The sequence below is a fragment of the Homo sapiens genome, chromosome 12 (assembly GCF_000001405.40).
Source record: "Homo sapiens chromosome 12, GRCh38.p14 Primary Assembly".
In the NCBI taxonomy this organism is placed as follows: Eukaryota; Metazoa; Chordata; class Mammalia; order Primates; family Hominidae; genus Homo; species Homo sapiens.
The window spans coordinates 117,181,260-117,196,590 of NC_000012.12; the positions used below are offsets into that span (position 1 = coordinate 117,181,260).

Below are 15,331 nucleotides of genomic sequence, written 5' to 3' on the forward strand. Positions count from 1 at the left end.
GGAAGTCAGTTTGGCTGGATATAAAAATCCTTGGTTGACATTTCCTTAGATCATTGAGTATCTTAAGCTATTTTTTCCTTTGGCACAAAAAATTCTGTTGAAAAGTCTGATGATATTCTTATTTTCTTTTCCTTATAAATGACTTTACCTTTTTTGCTTGGATGCTCAAAGGACTTTCCTGTCTTTAAAATCCAGCAATTTTACTAAAGTATGTCTCAGTATTGGTCATTCTGTGACACTTTTCTCAGGTACAATGTATGAATTTATCTATCTATCTATTTATATCTATCTATCTATCTGAGACAGTCTATCGATCGATCGATCTATCTATCTGAGACAGTCTATCTATCTATCTATCTATCTATCTATCTATCTATCTATCTATCTAATCTAGCTATCTATCTATCTGAGACAGAGTCTCACTTTGCCACCCAGGCTGGAGTGCAGCGGCATAATGTCAGCTCACTGCAACCTCCACTTCCCAGGTTCAAGCGATTCTCTTGTTTCAGCCTCTTGAGTAGCTGGGATTACAGGTGCCTGCCACCATGCCCGGCTAATTTTTTGTATTTTCAGTAGAGACGGCGTTTCTCCATGTTGGCCAGGCTGGTCTCGAACTCCTGACCTCAGGTGATCTGCCCACCTCAGCCTCCCAAAGTCATGGGATTACAGGTGTGAGCCACTGTGCCTGGCCCAGTGTATGCCCTTTTAATATGCTGTTTCTAATCTTTATTGTAGGACATACTCGTTTTTAAGACCACATAGCACATCATAAACACAAACTGATTTCAAGCTGATACTTTGGCATTTATGGAAACTACACTTTTTCCTTCCCATGCTTTCCATATCCAAACCATAAGCATTTGCCAGGAATGAAAACAAACAGGGTCTTCCATGAAAACTGGTATCCCAAAATATTTTTAAATGCGGGGTATTCTATCATTTAAAAACAACCTTATTTGTTTGTTGGCTCACACTTATAGTCCTAGTACTTTGGAAGGCCAAGGTGGGAGGATCACTTGAAGTCAAGAGTTCAAGACCAGCCTGGGAAACATAGTGAGACACTGTCTCTACCAAATAAAAATTAGCCAGGCATGATGGTACATGCCTGTATTCCTAGCTACTCAGGAGGCTGAGGCCAGAGGATCCCCTGAACACAGGATTCAAGGTTACAGTGAGCCATGATTGCACCACTGTACTCCAGCCTGGGCAACAGGATGAAACCCTGTCTCAAAAAAACAAACAGGGCTGGGCGTGGTGGCTCACACCTGTAATCCCAGCACATTGGGAGGCCACAGCAAGAGGATCTTTTTTTTTTTTTTTTTTTTTTTGGACCGAGTCTGTCGCCCAGGCTGGAGTGCAGTGGTGCAATCTCAGCTTACTGCAACCTCAGCCTCCCAGGTTCAAGCAATTCTCCTGTCTCAGCCTCCCGAGTAGCCGGGATTACAGGCGTGTGCCACCATGCCCAGCTAATTTTTGTATTTTTAGTAGAGGCAGGGTTTTACCATGTTGGACAGGCTGGTCTTGAACTCCTGACCTCAAGTGATCAACCCGCCTCGGCCTCTCAAAATGCTGTGATTACAGGCGTGAGCCACCATGCCTGGCTGGGAAGATCTCTTGAGGCCAGGAGTTTAGTAACTGCCTGGGCAACAAAGCAAGACTCCATCTATACAAAAAATAGAAAAAATTAGCCAGGTGTGGTGGCAAGTGCCTGTAGTCCTAACTACTCGGGAGGCTGAGGCAGGAGGGTCACTTGAGCCCAGGGGTTTGAGTCTGCAGTGAGCTATGATTGCGTCACAGCATTCCACCCTGGGTGACAAGAGTGAGACTCTGTTTCTAAAACAAACAATCCTTTTTTAAGGTCAAAATATGTGTGTTGGGTAACCTATTCGTATTTATTTCTAAAAACACTATAATATATGTCTTTACTAGCTATGCATTTTCATCTTTTTTGGGAACCTGATATGTAAAATGGCAGTATCTCATTGCTGTTTAACACTTTTTTTTTTTTGAGACGGAGTTTCACTCTTGTCACCCAGGCTGGAATGCAATGGCGCGATCTCGGCTCACTGCAACCTCTGCCTCCCACGCCTCCCAGGTTCAAGCAATTATCCTGCCTCAGCCTCCCCAGTAGCTGGGATTACAGGCACCTGCCACCATGTCTGGCTAATTTTTGTATTTTTTGTAGAGACAGGGTTTCATCATGTTGGCCAGGCTGGTGTCGAACTCCTGACCTCAGATGATCCAAGGACTTGGCCTCCCAAAGTGCTGGGATTACAGGCGTGAGCCACTGCACCCGGCCTATTTAACACTTTTTGAATAGTGTATTAAAAGTTTTCCGTGATTGTTAGATGTTAGGATTTGTTCTTCTGTGAATGTCATCCTCCTAACCTTTGAACATTTTTCAATATCTCTTGAGTTCTACTGACTTCGTTCATGCTCTCTTGGCCATATAGAAGTGTCTGCTCTTTCACTGTCTCCGCATTGTCCTTCTTGGTTAAGGTGGTCTCCCTTAGACTATACAAAGTCTCCTATTTTCTTGAGGAATGTTCACTGTGATCATTTAAAAATTTCAGTTGTTTCATCCTTTGGAAAAATGTTTGCATATGATGCACGTTTTCCTTTCTTCCAGCTGGATATTCAGTTATGTCCAGTACCATTTCTTTAAAAATCCATTTTTTCCCTCTGAGTTTAAATATATTAAATTATCTTTTATTCTGGGATGCATTTGTCAATTATCCTCTGCTACTGATGCAGCTATTTTTATTGAATCACTGTGCTGTTTGGATTATAAGTAGCTTTATAAGATGGCCTAATATCTAGTGATGCCAGTTTCCCATTATGATTACTGAAAAATTGTTTTCTGGCTCTTCTTGTGAATTTAGTCTTCTGTATATATTTTATGACATCCAAATGAAAGAAAAGAAAAAAGCAAAACAACTCCCCCCTGCTCACCACCCCCAACAAAAATACTTTGTTTGAATCCTAATTGGAATGACACTAGGTTTATAAATTAATTTGGGGAGAACTGACATTTTTTGTGATAGCAAGTCTTCACATTCCAGGACATGCTATCTATTTTATGTCTTTCAATAACATCCTATAGTCTGAACTGGGAAACCCATTCCCAGGACTCTACTGCCTAGAAACATCACTCCTCACAGTGACACAAAATGGAAAAAAAAGTGGTTGTCCATCTATAGGAAAATTATGTAGGCTAGGCACGGTGGCTCACGCCCATAATCTCAGCACTCTGGGAAGCCGAGACCAGCAGATCACGTGACATCAGGAGTTTGAGACCAGCCTGACCAAGAGGGAGAAACACCGTTTCTACTAAAAATACAAAATTAGCTGGGTGTGGTGGTGGGCACCTGTAATCCCAGCTACTCAGGAGGCTGAAGCAGGACAATCTCTTGGACCCAGGAGGCAGAGGTTGCCAAGATCACGCCATTGCACTCCAGCCTGGGCTACAAGAGCGAAATTCCATCTCAAAAAAATAAAAATAAGTAAATAAATTATGTAACATACCACAAAAGAGTAAGTAGACATTAACAATAGTGATTTTGATGTTTTACCCGTTGAAGAGGATGGATTTCCATAAGGTACTGTTGAATGAGAAAAAACAATATAGAAAAGTACCTATTATGTGATCCCAATTTTGTGCAATAATGATCCCTTCCCATACTCATCACTGTCAGCAAGAAGAATGCAACCTGGGCTGTTATCAAGAATTACAGAGGTGGGGGCAGGAAAGGACAATGTAAACAGAGGGAATGGGGAGGAAAAAGGAAACAGCATAAATAAGAGAAAAACCAGGTCTGTACTAAACACCAAACCAAAACAACCAACAAAGTAGGTATGAGGTCCCATTTATGTATTTTAAAGTACATATGCACATTAAAAAACACAAGTCAGCTTTTATTTTTAAGACTGCACAATACTGACTACTAGATCATACTTCAATTCATTTATAGATAAACCAAAATAGAAATGGAAAAATGACCTCTGCATCTGAACTCATCCAAGGCCTAGAATAGTGACACATCTTACCTCTACCCACAGTTGTTCCACTGATAGATATTTCTCTCTCCTAAATCCCCTTTAAAAAACAACATAAATATTTCATGCCTTGTTTGTGAGATATTTCGCAAAGATTCCTTTTAAGGAAGATGTTAAACTAACATTCTTATCTTCCATCACTAGAAAGTTTTCAGAACTTTTAGAACAGAAAGTCTTTTCCACAGGAAAGTTAGGCTGGAAGCCCACTCATCTTTCAGGGAAAAACTGGAAATTAACCTTCACAGCAGAAAATAAAAGGTATATGAAATTTTAAGCAATAACCAAGACATAAGGGGTTCTTCTTGATCAAGTGAGTCCCTAAGTACGCAGTTTTCTGACTGGAAGATAAAAGAAAGGCTCACCCAAAGATCTACAGTGTTCAAAGAACAAAGTAGATTATTTTGTACCGCAATTCAGAAATTGTAAAAAATCATCCATTAAATTAAGACATGCCTAAGAAATTATTATTTTTAAATTAAAAGATTCAATTCATGATAGGCAAATCTGATAGTAAGTGGAGAGGTAATAATGAAGGAAGGATGATTTATATTACCAGAAGGTTTCTTTTTTTTATGAGACGAAGTCTTGCTCTTGTCCCCCAGTCTGGAGTGCAATGGTGCAATCTCGGCTCACTGCAACCTCCACCTCCCGGGTTCAAATGATTCTTCTGCCTCAGCCTCCCGAGTAGCTGGGATTACAGGTGTGTACCACCACACCCAGCTAATTTTTTGTATTTTTTTAAGTAGAGATGGGGTTTCACCACGTTGGCCAGGCTGGTCGCGAACTCCTGACTTCAGGTGATCCGCCCATCTCGGCCTCCCAAAGTGCTGGGATTACAGGCGTGAGCCACCGTGCCTGGCCTATTACCAAAAGGTTTCTAAACAACACAACAGATACAAGGGTCTGGGGCACAGTATTTGACCCATAGTAGTGCTAAACATTAATTCCATTTTCTTTCCAAAAGGATTTTTGTAAGGTTTCTTTATATGTCAATTGTCTTGGTGTATCTACCTAATATACACAGAACTTTTCAAAACTGTAACTATGACAAGGCGTGAAATATTTGGAATCACATATTCCAGGGTTTAGCCACACAGAAATTACAGCAATTTACTCTGGACTTATTAAAGCAAACAAATCCCTGCTAAAGCTATGGCTTACCTTCCTTCCATATTTAGGATACACACCAGTTCATCCTCAAAAAAAATCTCTGGTCCTTCAAGGTTCTCAATGTCACTGAAGCCATTACAAGGAACCTATGAAGAAGACATATACAAGTAGGCCTCAATTATGAGTATTGATGCAACTCTCACTCTCACAAATTTGAGCTGAAATAAAGATGTCCACTACTAAAGACAGTGCTAACAGTTATTCTACACTACCTTGCACTACCAGTCATGGGTAGAAAATAACATAAAGTAACAATAATTTACTGAGGTTTTGTTGTTGTTTGTAATCAATGATGTTTTCATAGACTGGAATTTCTGAAACTGACAACTCACAGTTCTAACGTAAAGAAAACTAGCTCTGGCCGGCCATAGTGGTTCATGACTGTAATCCCAGAACTTTGGGAGGCCAAGGCAGGCAGATAACCTGAGGTAAGGAGTTTGAGACCAGCCTGATCAACGTGGTGAAACCCCATGTCTACTAAAAATACAAAATTAGCCAGGCATGCCTGTAATCCCAGCTACTTGGGAGGCTGAGGCAGGAGAATCACTTGAACCCGGGAGGCGGAGGTTACAGTGAGCCAAGATTGCGCCATTGCACTCCAGCCTGGGCAACAAGAATGAAACTCCGTTTTAAAAAAAATAAAAAGGCGGCGGCGGCAGGTGCAGTGGCTCACGCCTGTAATCCCAGCACTTCGGGAGGCTGAGGTGGGCGGATCACCTGAGGTCAGGAGCTCGAGACCAGCCTGACCAACATAGAGAAACCCCATCTCTACTAAAAATACAAAATTAGCCAGGCGTAGTGGCGCATGCCAGTAATCCCAGCTACTCGGGAGGCTGAGGCAGGAGAATCACTTGAACCTGGGAGGCAGAGGTTGCGGTAAGCTGAGATCACACCATTGCACTCCAGCCTGGGCAACAAGAGTGAAACTCTGTCTCAAAAAAAAAAAAAAAAAAAAAAAAAAGATCTTCTGAGTTTAAAATTCTATGGCTTCTCTCAGTTTTCTTTTTGCAAGTAGCCAGAACATTTCAGGTCAACCTGTGTGCATTCTGAGAACACAGGAACGCCAAGATCCCGGGCCAAAGCAATCACCCACCCACAGATTAATGTTAAGTATGCTCCCGCTGTGTTCAAAGTCCTTGACATACTTCTAATTAAGCAGTGGTACAGGAAAAGGGGGAGCTGAGGAAAAAACACAACAATCCATCATTATTACACAGAGGCACAGACTGTTCAAAACATACACAAAACCAGCTGGACTAGAAATGGAGGTTGCAGGCTCATAGTCCATGACCAACTGCACCAAACATAGCTAGTACCAAAATCTACGTATGTGCAAACACATTCAGATCAGCATTTACAATTTGTGATTATGAATGCTTTTAGCCAGGGCATGGCTTCTCCAAAGTAAAATACAAATTTTGTTTATTCTAACACTAATAAATATTTATAGAAACCAATTACACTAAGGAATGTCTATTTGTATTCTCCATAGGGGAAAACATTCAAATTTGTCCAAAGTTCAAATTTTCCCTTTCAAAACTTGAAAAGCCTTGAAAACATTTCAAATTATTAACTCCATTAACTAACAGTAATTAAAATTAGAGAATCCAAAGGAGTCTTTAGGAAAACAAAAAAGTGAAATAAATCAGATTGGCTCTATTTCTAGAACCCCAACCAGAAATAAATATCGAATAGTTTGTTGAACTCAAAACATTAGTGTGGATTATTTTCCAGAGTTACAAAAAGGGATCAGGGGCAGATACAGAAACTTCCGTGAGGCCAGGCACGGTGGCTCACGCCTGTAATCCCAACACTTTGGTTTGCAGAGGCCGGCGGATCACTTGAGACCAGGTGTTCAAGACCAGCCTGACCAACATGGTGAAACCCCAACTCTACTAAAAATACAAAAATTATCCAGGTATGGTGGCGCATGCCTGTAGTCCCGGCTACTCGGGAGGCTGAGACATGAGAATTGCTCGAGCCCAGGAGTAGGAGGTTGCAGTGAGCTGAGATTGCGCCACTGCACTCCAGCCGGGGAGACAAAGCAAGACTCTGTCTCAAAAAAAGAAAAAAGAAAGAAACTTCCATGAGACATTTTGAGGAAAGAAAAAAAGAAAACAAAACAAAACAAAACAAAAAAAACCCACCATGTATTTCTGCAATACTTAAAAAAAAAAAAAAACCCAAAAACTTTTCAGGGATAATGAATGCAAGACAATTCATTTCAGGGAGTAATAACTCTGATTTATAGGTAGCTTTTAATCCTCTGTTACCTTAACAAATAATGCAGTTCACTACTGGGTAGAACCTGCAAAGCCAGAGAGAAGAACCACATTAATTTCGTCAACCCTTCTGGGAAAACAACCGGGAGAAATTTACAGTGTTCAATCATTGATGATTCCCCAAATAACGGAGGGGTTGCAAAAAAAATCCGTTGAACCCATTTGAGAAATAATGCTGATCTGGACTCCGTCTACATTGTGCTGCGTGGGTCCCTCCCTGCTCCCTCCACCCCCACTCTCTCTCTGGCTTTAGAAAAGTAAAGCTGGCACAGACAAATGGCTTCGTGTTGTTGGATAGGAGGAAAAGGACACAATGACTCTTGCAGCCATCTAAGTGAGTAAGGGATTGTGAGAGCATTGAAAAGGGAGATACGAAAAGAGCTGGATGAGCTCATGCCTGCAGACCCAGACACATACACCAGCAAGCCAAAGCTTAGAGCCACATCAACAGATCCTTACGTGCTCTGAAAAGAACCTCTTTGAGAACGAGGCTACAATCTTCCGCGCTTCTAACCCAGCTTTTTGCCGAACTTTATACTCTTCCAACCAATTGACGTAGTCGGTGGGGCTGTAGTGTTTCATAAGGGAAGGCCACCTACGAGGAGAGAAACACCCCCTCAGCTTAACAGAAACTCAAAGGCAGGCGGCCACGAATCCAAGGCAGCCTTGGAAACAGGGACAGCAGTGGCGTCCAGTGGTAAGAGGGACCCCGGCGAGAGACCTAGTTCAAAACCCCACCAGCATTCACTCACTCACTCCCGGTGTGACCTTGGCGTAGCGGCATGAATGATGTCTCCATTCCCCATCTCTAAAATGGGGACAGTTGTAACAACAACAACAATAATAATAATGACAATGACAGTGAGCACTGATTGAGCGCCTCCTAGGAGCCGGGGCCCTGCGTGCGTGCCTCCCGGACATCATCTAATTTAATAAACACGGTGAAAGGTAGGTCTAATGATCACCACCACTCAAAGTCTATGAACGAGGCTCAAAAAAAGGGAAGTCGCTCCCCCCAAGGTCACAGAGGGAGTGTGCAGGGCCAGATTTCATCCTGGGGCCACGCTGAAATCTGTGCCGTCCACAACCAGCCCGGGGATGCTGCGCCCGCCCGATCGATGCATCACTGGGTCCATGTAAACATTTCAGCCCGAAGTCGGGCACAAAAGAAGCGCGCAAAAGGGACGAGCCGCGCCGCCGCCAGCGTCACCCTTGACGGAGGACCCGGCTGCGAGGCGCTCCTAGATGCGCCATTTGGGGACCCGGGGGTCCGCCTGGCGTGGCCCCGCAGGGTCCGGGGCCTGGAGGCCTTTGTCTGTCTGTCCGCGGGAAGGGGTCCGGGGTGGGGTCCGCGCGCGGGGCGGCCGCGGGGAGCTAGCGGGGCGGCTGCCCGGCCCCGGGGGGCGCGGGGCGGTGGGCGCGCAGCCGGGGCGCGGGGCCGCTGGCTCACCTCACCCGGAACTGCTCCTTCCACACCTTCCCGCTGCTCTGGCACAGCTCGCGCAGCCGCCGGCAGGTGCTGGAGACACGGCCGATGTCGGCGGCCGTCAGCGAGCCGCAGCACAGGATGTACTCCAGCACCTCACCCGGCAGGTTGACGAGGCAGCTGAGGCCCGCTACCTCCGGCGCGGCCTCCTCCGCCAGCGCCGGCACCACCTCCATCGCGCTGTCGACTGCTGCCGCCGCCATCTTGTCCGCGTACCTGGGGCCGCCGCGCGCGCGCGTGCGAGAGTGCCCGGGCGCCCCGCCTGGCCCCGCCTACTGGTCTTGGGGGCGAGTCCTGAGATCGCTCCGCCCATCCGCGGGCCACACCTCCCCTGCATCGGCTGGGGGCTGCGCGGGTGGCAGCGCCGCAAAAGGGAGGACATAATTGGGCTCTGTGCTTGGAGCCGGCAGCGCAAGCCGCCTCTAGTCCGGGACAACAATAGTAGCACTGATTCTTTTAAACGTAATTAATGTTTAAAATTAACAAATAAAAATGGTATCTATTCTCACGCGTGCTGAGCGCTTTCTGTGCGCATTGGACCTTTCCGAATTACCCTGCGAACTTTCTCCCCATATTACAGATGGGGAAACAGGTTCGGAGAGTGAGAGGGCTTGCTCAGGATCCCTTGTCTTGGATTTTTTTTCCCCCTTTGGGAAGGAGTCTTGCTCTCACCCAGGCTGGAGGGCAGTGGCGCTATCTCGGCTCACTGCAACCTCTGCCTCCTGGGTTCAAGCGATTCTCCTGCCTCAGCCTCCCGTGCGGATGGGATTACAGGCGCGCGCCACCACCCAGGTTGGAGTGCAGTGGCCGTGATCTCGGCTCACTGCAACTTCCACCTCCCTGGTTCAAGCAATTATCCTGCGTCAGCCTCCCGAGTAGCTGGGATTACAGGCGCCCGCCACCACAGCCAGCTAATTTTTGTATTTTTAGTAGAGACAGGGTTTCACCATGTTGGTCAGGCTGGTCTCGAACTCCTGACCTCAAATGATCCACCCACCTCGGCCTCCCAAAGTGCTGGGATTACAGGCGTGAGCCACCGCGCCCAGCCCCTTGTCTTGGATTCTATTTCAGATCCACTTGACTTTTGCTTGTCAGTAATCTTAACCATATGATGTAATAATAACAATATTCTTGAGTGGGTGCTATGGGAAGCCCTCTATGATGGTGTAGGGGAGTAATAATAATCCTCAAATGTGTGCCCTGATTTTAGGCTAATAGAGGGCAGGCAGAGAGCTCTCCTGTACTGGTTTCTTAATTGTTTCCAGCTCAACAATCCTTCATATTTGGGGAGCATAGTCTGACCTCCCACAATAGGTACCACAGTTATACCTATTCTACAGAAAAGGCAAAGTTCTTCCAGGTGGCAGTCACTGGTTCAAAGTTACAGAGACAAAAGTGCTAAAGCCTGGATTTGAGTCTTCAAAGCGGGAGTTATCACTCAGGATTGGGAGGGTAGTCTCAGGATCTGCACATTAAAAAAAAAAAATCAGTTTAGTTCAGTGCCAAAGCCCTGTGTTGTGTGCCCTGGGGATACAGGGGTGAGAAAAATGGAGTCTTTGCTTCAAAACCTCAAAGTGCAATTACAGTTAGAAGGATCTGTTGTCAGTACATGGAGGGTCCAATGAAGTACTCCTGGCAACTTGGAAATCAAGATGCCCTGAGAGAGCTGAACTAGTAAAGTGACTCTCAATGGATGGCGTTGAGCCATCTGTGGCTCCCTATTTCCCGTAGAAATGAATGTGACATCCCAAACATTGTTGCAAAGCAACAAACTCCACCTCTTCTTACCTATCTGAAGTCTTTCTCTCTCACTAGCCATGCATACCCCAGCAAGGCTGGTCATCTCTTTCCTCCCATTTCTGGCCCTACATATACTATTCCTGCTGCCTGCAAGGCACTTCATGCAGTCCTCCCCTTCCAGTAGCTCCTCCTCTTCCTCCAGGGCTCAGCTTAACCTTTCCAAATGCTCTCCCTTCCCCCGCCCCAGCACCAGCACCAGATATGGCTCCTGCCCAGCATTTTGCAGTCTTGTAATTACTTAACTTACAACTATTCAACATGCATCTTTCCCACTAAATCTGAAGGGAGTTCAGTGCTAGGACTGTGTCTGAGTCACCTCTAGAAGCCTAGTTACTTGACCCATGCCCTGCACAGAGCAGATTCTCAATTATCTATTGATTGCGATAGTCTAACCAGCTGTTTGACTAGGGAAGTTACTTAGCCTTTCTGAGGCCCAGTTTTTTATCTGTAAAATGGGAATAATAATTAATAATAATAATGCCTGTCTCCTGGGGCTGTCATGAGAATTAAATGAGGAAATTCATGTGAGGGGCATAGAACAGTGGCTGGTATAGAAAAAATCCTTGAGCCGGATGCGGTAGCTCACACCTGTAATCCCAGCACCTTGGGAGGCCAAGGCAGGCAGATCACCTGAGGTCAGGAGTTCGAGACCAGCCTGACCAACATGGTGAAACCCCATCTCTACAAAAATGCAAAAACTAGCCGGGCATGATGCCAGGTGCCTGTAATCCCAGCTACTTGCGAGATTGAGGCAGAAGAATCGCTTGAACCAGGGAGGTGGAGGTTGCAGTGAGCCGAGATCATGCCTTTGCACTCCAGCCTGGGTGACAGAACAAGATGCTGTCTCAGAAAAAACGAAACGAAAAAAAAATTGCTTGACAAAACTGTGTGGGAAGCAGGGAGAAATGGCTCAATGGATATGGGTTTTTTGGTTTGTTTGTTTGTTTTTTGAGGCAGAGTCTCACTCTGTTGCCCACGCTGGAGTGCAATGGCACGATCTCGGCTCCCTGCAACTTTGGCCTCCTGGGTTCAAGAGATTCTTCCGCCTCAGCCTCCCGAGTAGCTGGGATTACAGGAGCATGCCACCATGCCTGGCTAATTTTTGTATTTTTGTAGAGACAGTTTCACCACGTTGGCCAGGCTGGTCTTGAACTCCTGACCTCATGATCTACCTGCCTCGGCCTCCCAAGGTGCTGGGATTACAGGTGTGAGCCATCGTGCCTGGCCTGGATATGGATTTACTTTGGGGTGATGGAAATGTTTTGGAAGTAGATAGAGGTGGTGGTGGTGGTTGCACAGCATTGGGAATATACTAAATGCCACTGAATTGTTCTCTTTAAAATGATTAAATTTTACCAGCATGGCGGCTTAAACCTGTAGTTCCAGTTACTCGGGAGGCTGAGGTGGGAGGATCACTTGAGCCTAGGTGTTCAAGGTTGCAGTGAACTATGACTACACCATTGCACTCCAGCCTGGGTGACAGAGCAAGACAAGACAAAGCCTTTGTGACTCCACTGTCTCCCGGTTCTCCTCTCACCTCTGGGGCTGCACCTTCTCCATCTTCTTTGCAGCCACTCAGATGTTACATGTTGAGGTATCTTGGGCCTCAGCCAGCCCTCTTCTTTCACTATCTTGCCTCTGTCCACAACTCGAATGATGATCCAGATCCAATCGAAATATCCACATTTCTCTCTTCTGCCCCACCCGCTCCTCTGGGATCTAGTCTGGCTTAGCCTGCTCACCTGCCATTCCCTTTGGGCCCTTCAAACTCAACTTATCCAGGAGGAAACTCATGATCTTTCTTCTCCACTTTACCTTGTCTTCTCTTAGTAGTTCCTGCCTTAGGAAGGGCTACTCATTCATCCATTCCTGTAAAACATGAACTTGTCACCATCCTTGCTACCTCTTTCTCCCTCACCATCCATAACCAAATGCCCAACAGAGGTTAATTTCTGTAAGCCTCAGTTTCCTAATCTATAAAACAGGGATAAAAATCTATCTTGCTATTAAATAAGACATATACATCAGTTAGTATTGCTGTGTAACAAATAAACCCAAATTTAGTGACTGCTCTGTTTTTGGCAATGTGGGTACAAAGGTGAACAGGGTAAAGTCACAAATGCCCTGGTCACAGAGCCGAGATATTAGCATAGGTGACAGCGGATACCGCCAATACTATCAGGACTCATCAGTGCTATCCTTAGGCAGTGATAAGTACTGGGAAGAAAGAGATAAAACAGAGGAAGAATATGGAGAATGTGGACAGTGGCAGTCTCCTTTTTCTTTTCTCTTTCTTTTTATTTTCTTCTTTCTTTCTGTCGTCTCTCTCTCTCTTTCCTTCTTCTTTCTTTTTTCTTTTCTTTTCTTTTTTTTCTTTTTTTTTTTTTTGAGACAGAGTTTTGCTCCTGTCACCCAGGCTGGAGTGAAGTGGCATGATCTCTGCTCACTGCAACCTTCACCTCCCGGGTTCAAGAGATTCTCCTGCCTCAGCCCTCCAAGTAGCTGGAATTGCAGACATGTGCCACCACATCCAGCTAATTTTGTATTTTTAGTAGAGATGGGGTTTCACCATGTTGGCCAGGCTGGTCTTGAACTCCTGACCTCAGGTGATCCACCCACTTCGGCCTCCCAAAGTGCCGAGATTACAGACGTGAGCCACCATGCCTGGCTGGCTTTTTTTCTTTCTTTCTTTCTTTCTTTCTTTCTTTCTTTCTTTCTTTCTTTCTTTCTTTCTTTCCTTCTTTTTTCTTTCTTTCTTTCTTTCCTTCTTTTTTCTTTCTTTCTTTCCCTTCCTTCCTTCCTCTCTCTCTTTTCTTTGTTTCTTTCTTTTTTCTTTATTATTTTTTGAGATGGAGTTTCGCTCCTGTTGCCCAGGCTGGAGTGCAATGGCCGGATCTTGGCTCACTGCAACCTCCGCCTCCCGGGGTTCAAGTGATTCTCCTGCCTCAGCCTCCCAAGTAGCTGGGATAACAGGCATACACCACCACACCTGGCTAATTTTGTGTTTTTAGTAGAGATGGGATTTCTCCATGTTGGTCAGGCTGGTCTCGAATTCCCGACCTCAGGTGATTCGCCCACCTCAGCCTCCCAAAGTGCTGGGATTACAGGCATGAGTCACCGCGCCCGGCCTCTTTTTTTTTTTTTTTTTTTTGAGAGAGAGTTTCACTCTGTCATCCAGGTTAGAGTACAGTGGCGTCATCTCGGCTCACAGCAACTTCTGCCTCCTGGACTCAAGCCAGCCTCCCACCTTAGGCTCCTGAGTAGCTGGGGCTGCAGGCACACACCACCAAGCCCGACTAATTTTTGCATTTTTTTTTTGTAGAGATGGGGTTTCACCATGTTGTGCAGGCTGGTCTCCAATTCCTGAACTCCCGCCTCGGCTTCCCAAAGTGCTGGAATTACGGGTGTGAGCCATGGCGCCCAGCCTTCTTTTTCTTTCATTTTAACTTAAATTGTTTTCCTTGATTTATATTTGCAATATGAAATAGAAGCTTGGCACAAACACACACTCATGCCAGCCTGGGGAGAGAGGGCTAGGGACAAGATCACTTGGCAGCAGGGCTGGTACCCCAGATGCTTAGTTAGGATGGCAGGAGGGGGATCCCGAACCCTCACCCAGCCCCTCCTACCCTGGGGTCCATGAAATGTACAGAAGGGGAGAAGGAAGTATGGGATGTTGGTGAGAGTGTCCAGGGCCCGGTGGGATTGTATGAAAGAATGGCGCACACACAAAAGATTTACATACCTATCAAAGGGACAGAAGATATAATTACAAACACAAATTTTCTCAAGGAAATTCTCCAAGAAAGGAAGAAGGGAATGAGTCTCTTTCCTTTTTGGCATAGGGAAAACTCTGTTTTTAAATTTCCCCTAGGATACCCTTTTGCTGAACTGGCCTCACGCCCTGACTATATCCAGCTGGTCCCCTCAACCCTAATTGAACCTAATTGGGGTCCTCTTGGCCTGCACAGCAAAGCCAAACACTGACATTGGGATTGCAGTGAGGGAAAGTGAGGCATTTATTGCAGGGCCCCAATCAAGGAGAATTGGGGAGCTCATGGTTTAAGACTCAAACTCCCTGATGGCTTACAGGTAAGAGTTTTTTAGTTTGTTTGTTTGAGACGGAGTCTTGCTCTGTTGCTCAGGCTGGAGTGCAATGGCACTATCTCAGCTCACTGTAACAACCTCTGCCTCCCAGGTTCAAGCGATTCTCTTGCTTCTCAGCCTCCTGAGTAGCTGGGATTACAGGCATGCACCACCACACCTGGCTAATTTTTGTATTTTTAGTAGAGGCAGGGTTTCATGATGTTGACCAGGCTGGTGTTGAACTCCTGACCTCAGGTGATCCACCTGCCTCGGCCTCCCAAAGTGCTGGAATTACAGGCGTGAGCCACCGTGCCTGCCCACAGGTAAGAGTTTTTAAAGGCAAGGAGGCAGAGGTTACAGGCAAAGCCATAAATCAATTACATGGAGGCTATCCATTGGTTTGACCTAAAAAGGCGGGACATTTGGAAGCAGAGGCCCACAGGTCATAGGT

At 45.7% G+C, this 15,331-nt stretch overlaps 1 protein-coding gene across 4 annotated transcripts in view, besides 4 other annotated features; it reads right to left on the bottom strand.

Moving 5' to 3' along the window:
• The window catches only part of FBXO21 (F-box protein 21), a 48,480-nt gene extending 39,269 nt beyond the window's left edge, over positions 1–9,211 (bottom strand). For all 4 annotated transcript variants that reach the window (XM_017019038.3, XM_017019037.3, NM_015002.3 and 1 more), the window contains exons 1-3: positions 8,959–9,211; positions 7,968–8,103; positions 5,218–5,312 (exon numbers count right to left, since the gene is read on the bottom strand). In XM_017019038.3, coding sequence (XP_016874527.1) covers positions 5,218–5,312; positions 7,968–8,103; positions 8,959–9,197 — 470 coding nt within the window. In that variant the 5' untranslated portion in view covers positions 9,198–9,211. The remainder of the gene's footprint in view (positions 1–5,217; positions 5,313–7,967; positions 8,104–8,958) is intronic.
• Positions 8,338–8,427: an enhancer, noted in NCBI's record as "active region_7104". NCBI's record gives its function as "activates an Ori minimal core promoter by ATAC-STARR-seq in GM12878 lymphoblastoid cells {active_cell/tissue: GM12878}" and the evidence as "EXISTENCE:reporter gene assay evidence [ECO:0000049][PMID:35858748]".
• Positions 8,898–8,947: a silencer, noted in NCBI's record as "silent region_4915". NCBI's record gives its function as "represses an Ori minimal core promoter by ATAC-STARR-seq in GM12878 lymphoblastoid cells {active_cell/tissue: GM12878}" and the evidence as "EXISTENCE:reporter gene assay evidence [ECO:0000049][PMID:35858748]".
• Positions 9,228–9,327: a silencer, noted in NCBI's record as "silent region_4916". NCBI's record gives its function as "represses an Ori minimal core promoter by ATAC-STARR-seq in GM12878 lymphoblastoid cells {active_cell/tissue: GM12878}" and the evidence as "EXISTENCE:reporter gene assay evidence [ECO:0000049][PMID:35858748]".
• Positions 9,368–9,427: a silencer, noted in NCBI's record as "silent region_4917". NCBI's record gives its function as "represses an Ori minimal core promoter by ATAC-STARR-seq in GM12878 lymphoblastoid cells {active_cell/tissue: GM12878}" and the evidence as "EXISTENCE:reporter gene assay evidence [ECO:0000049][PMID:35858748]".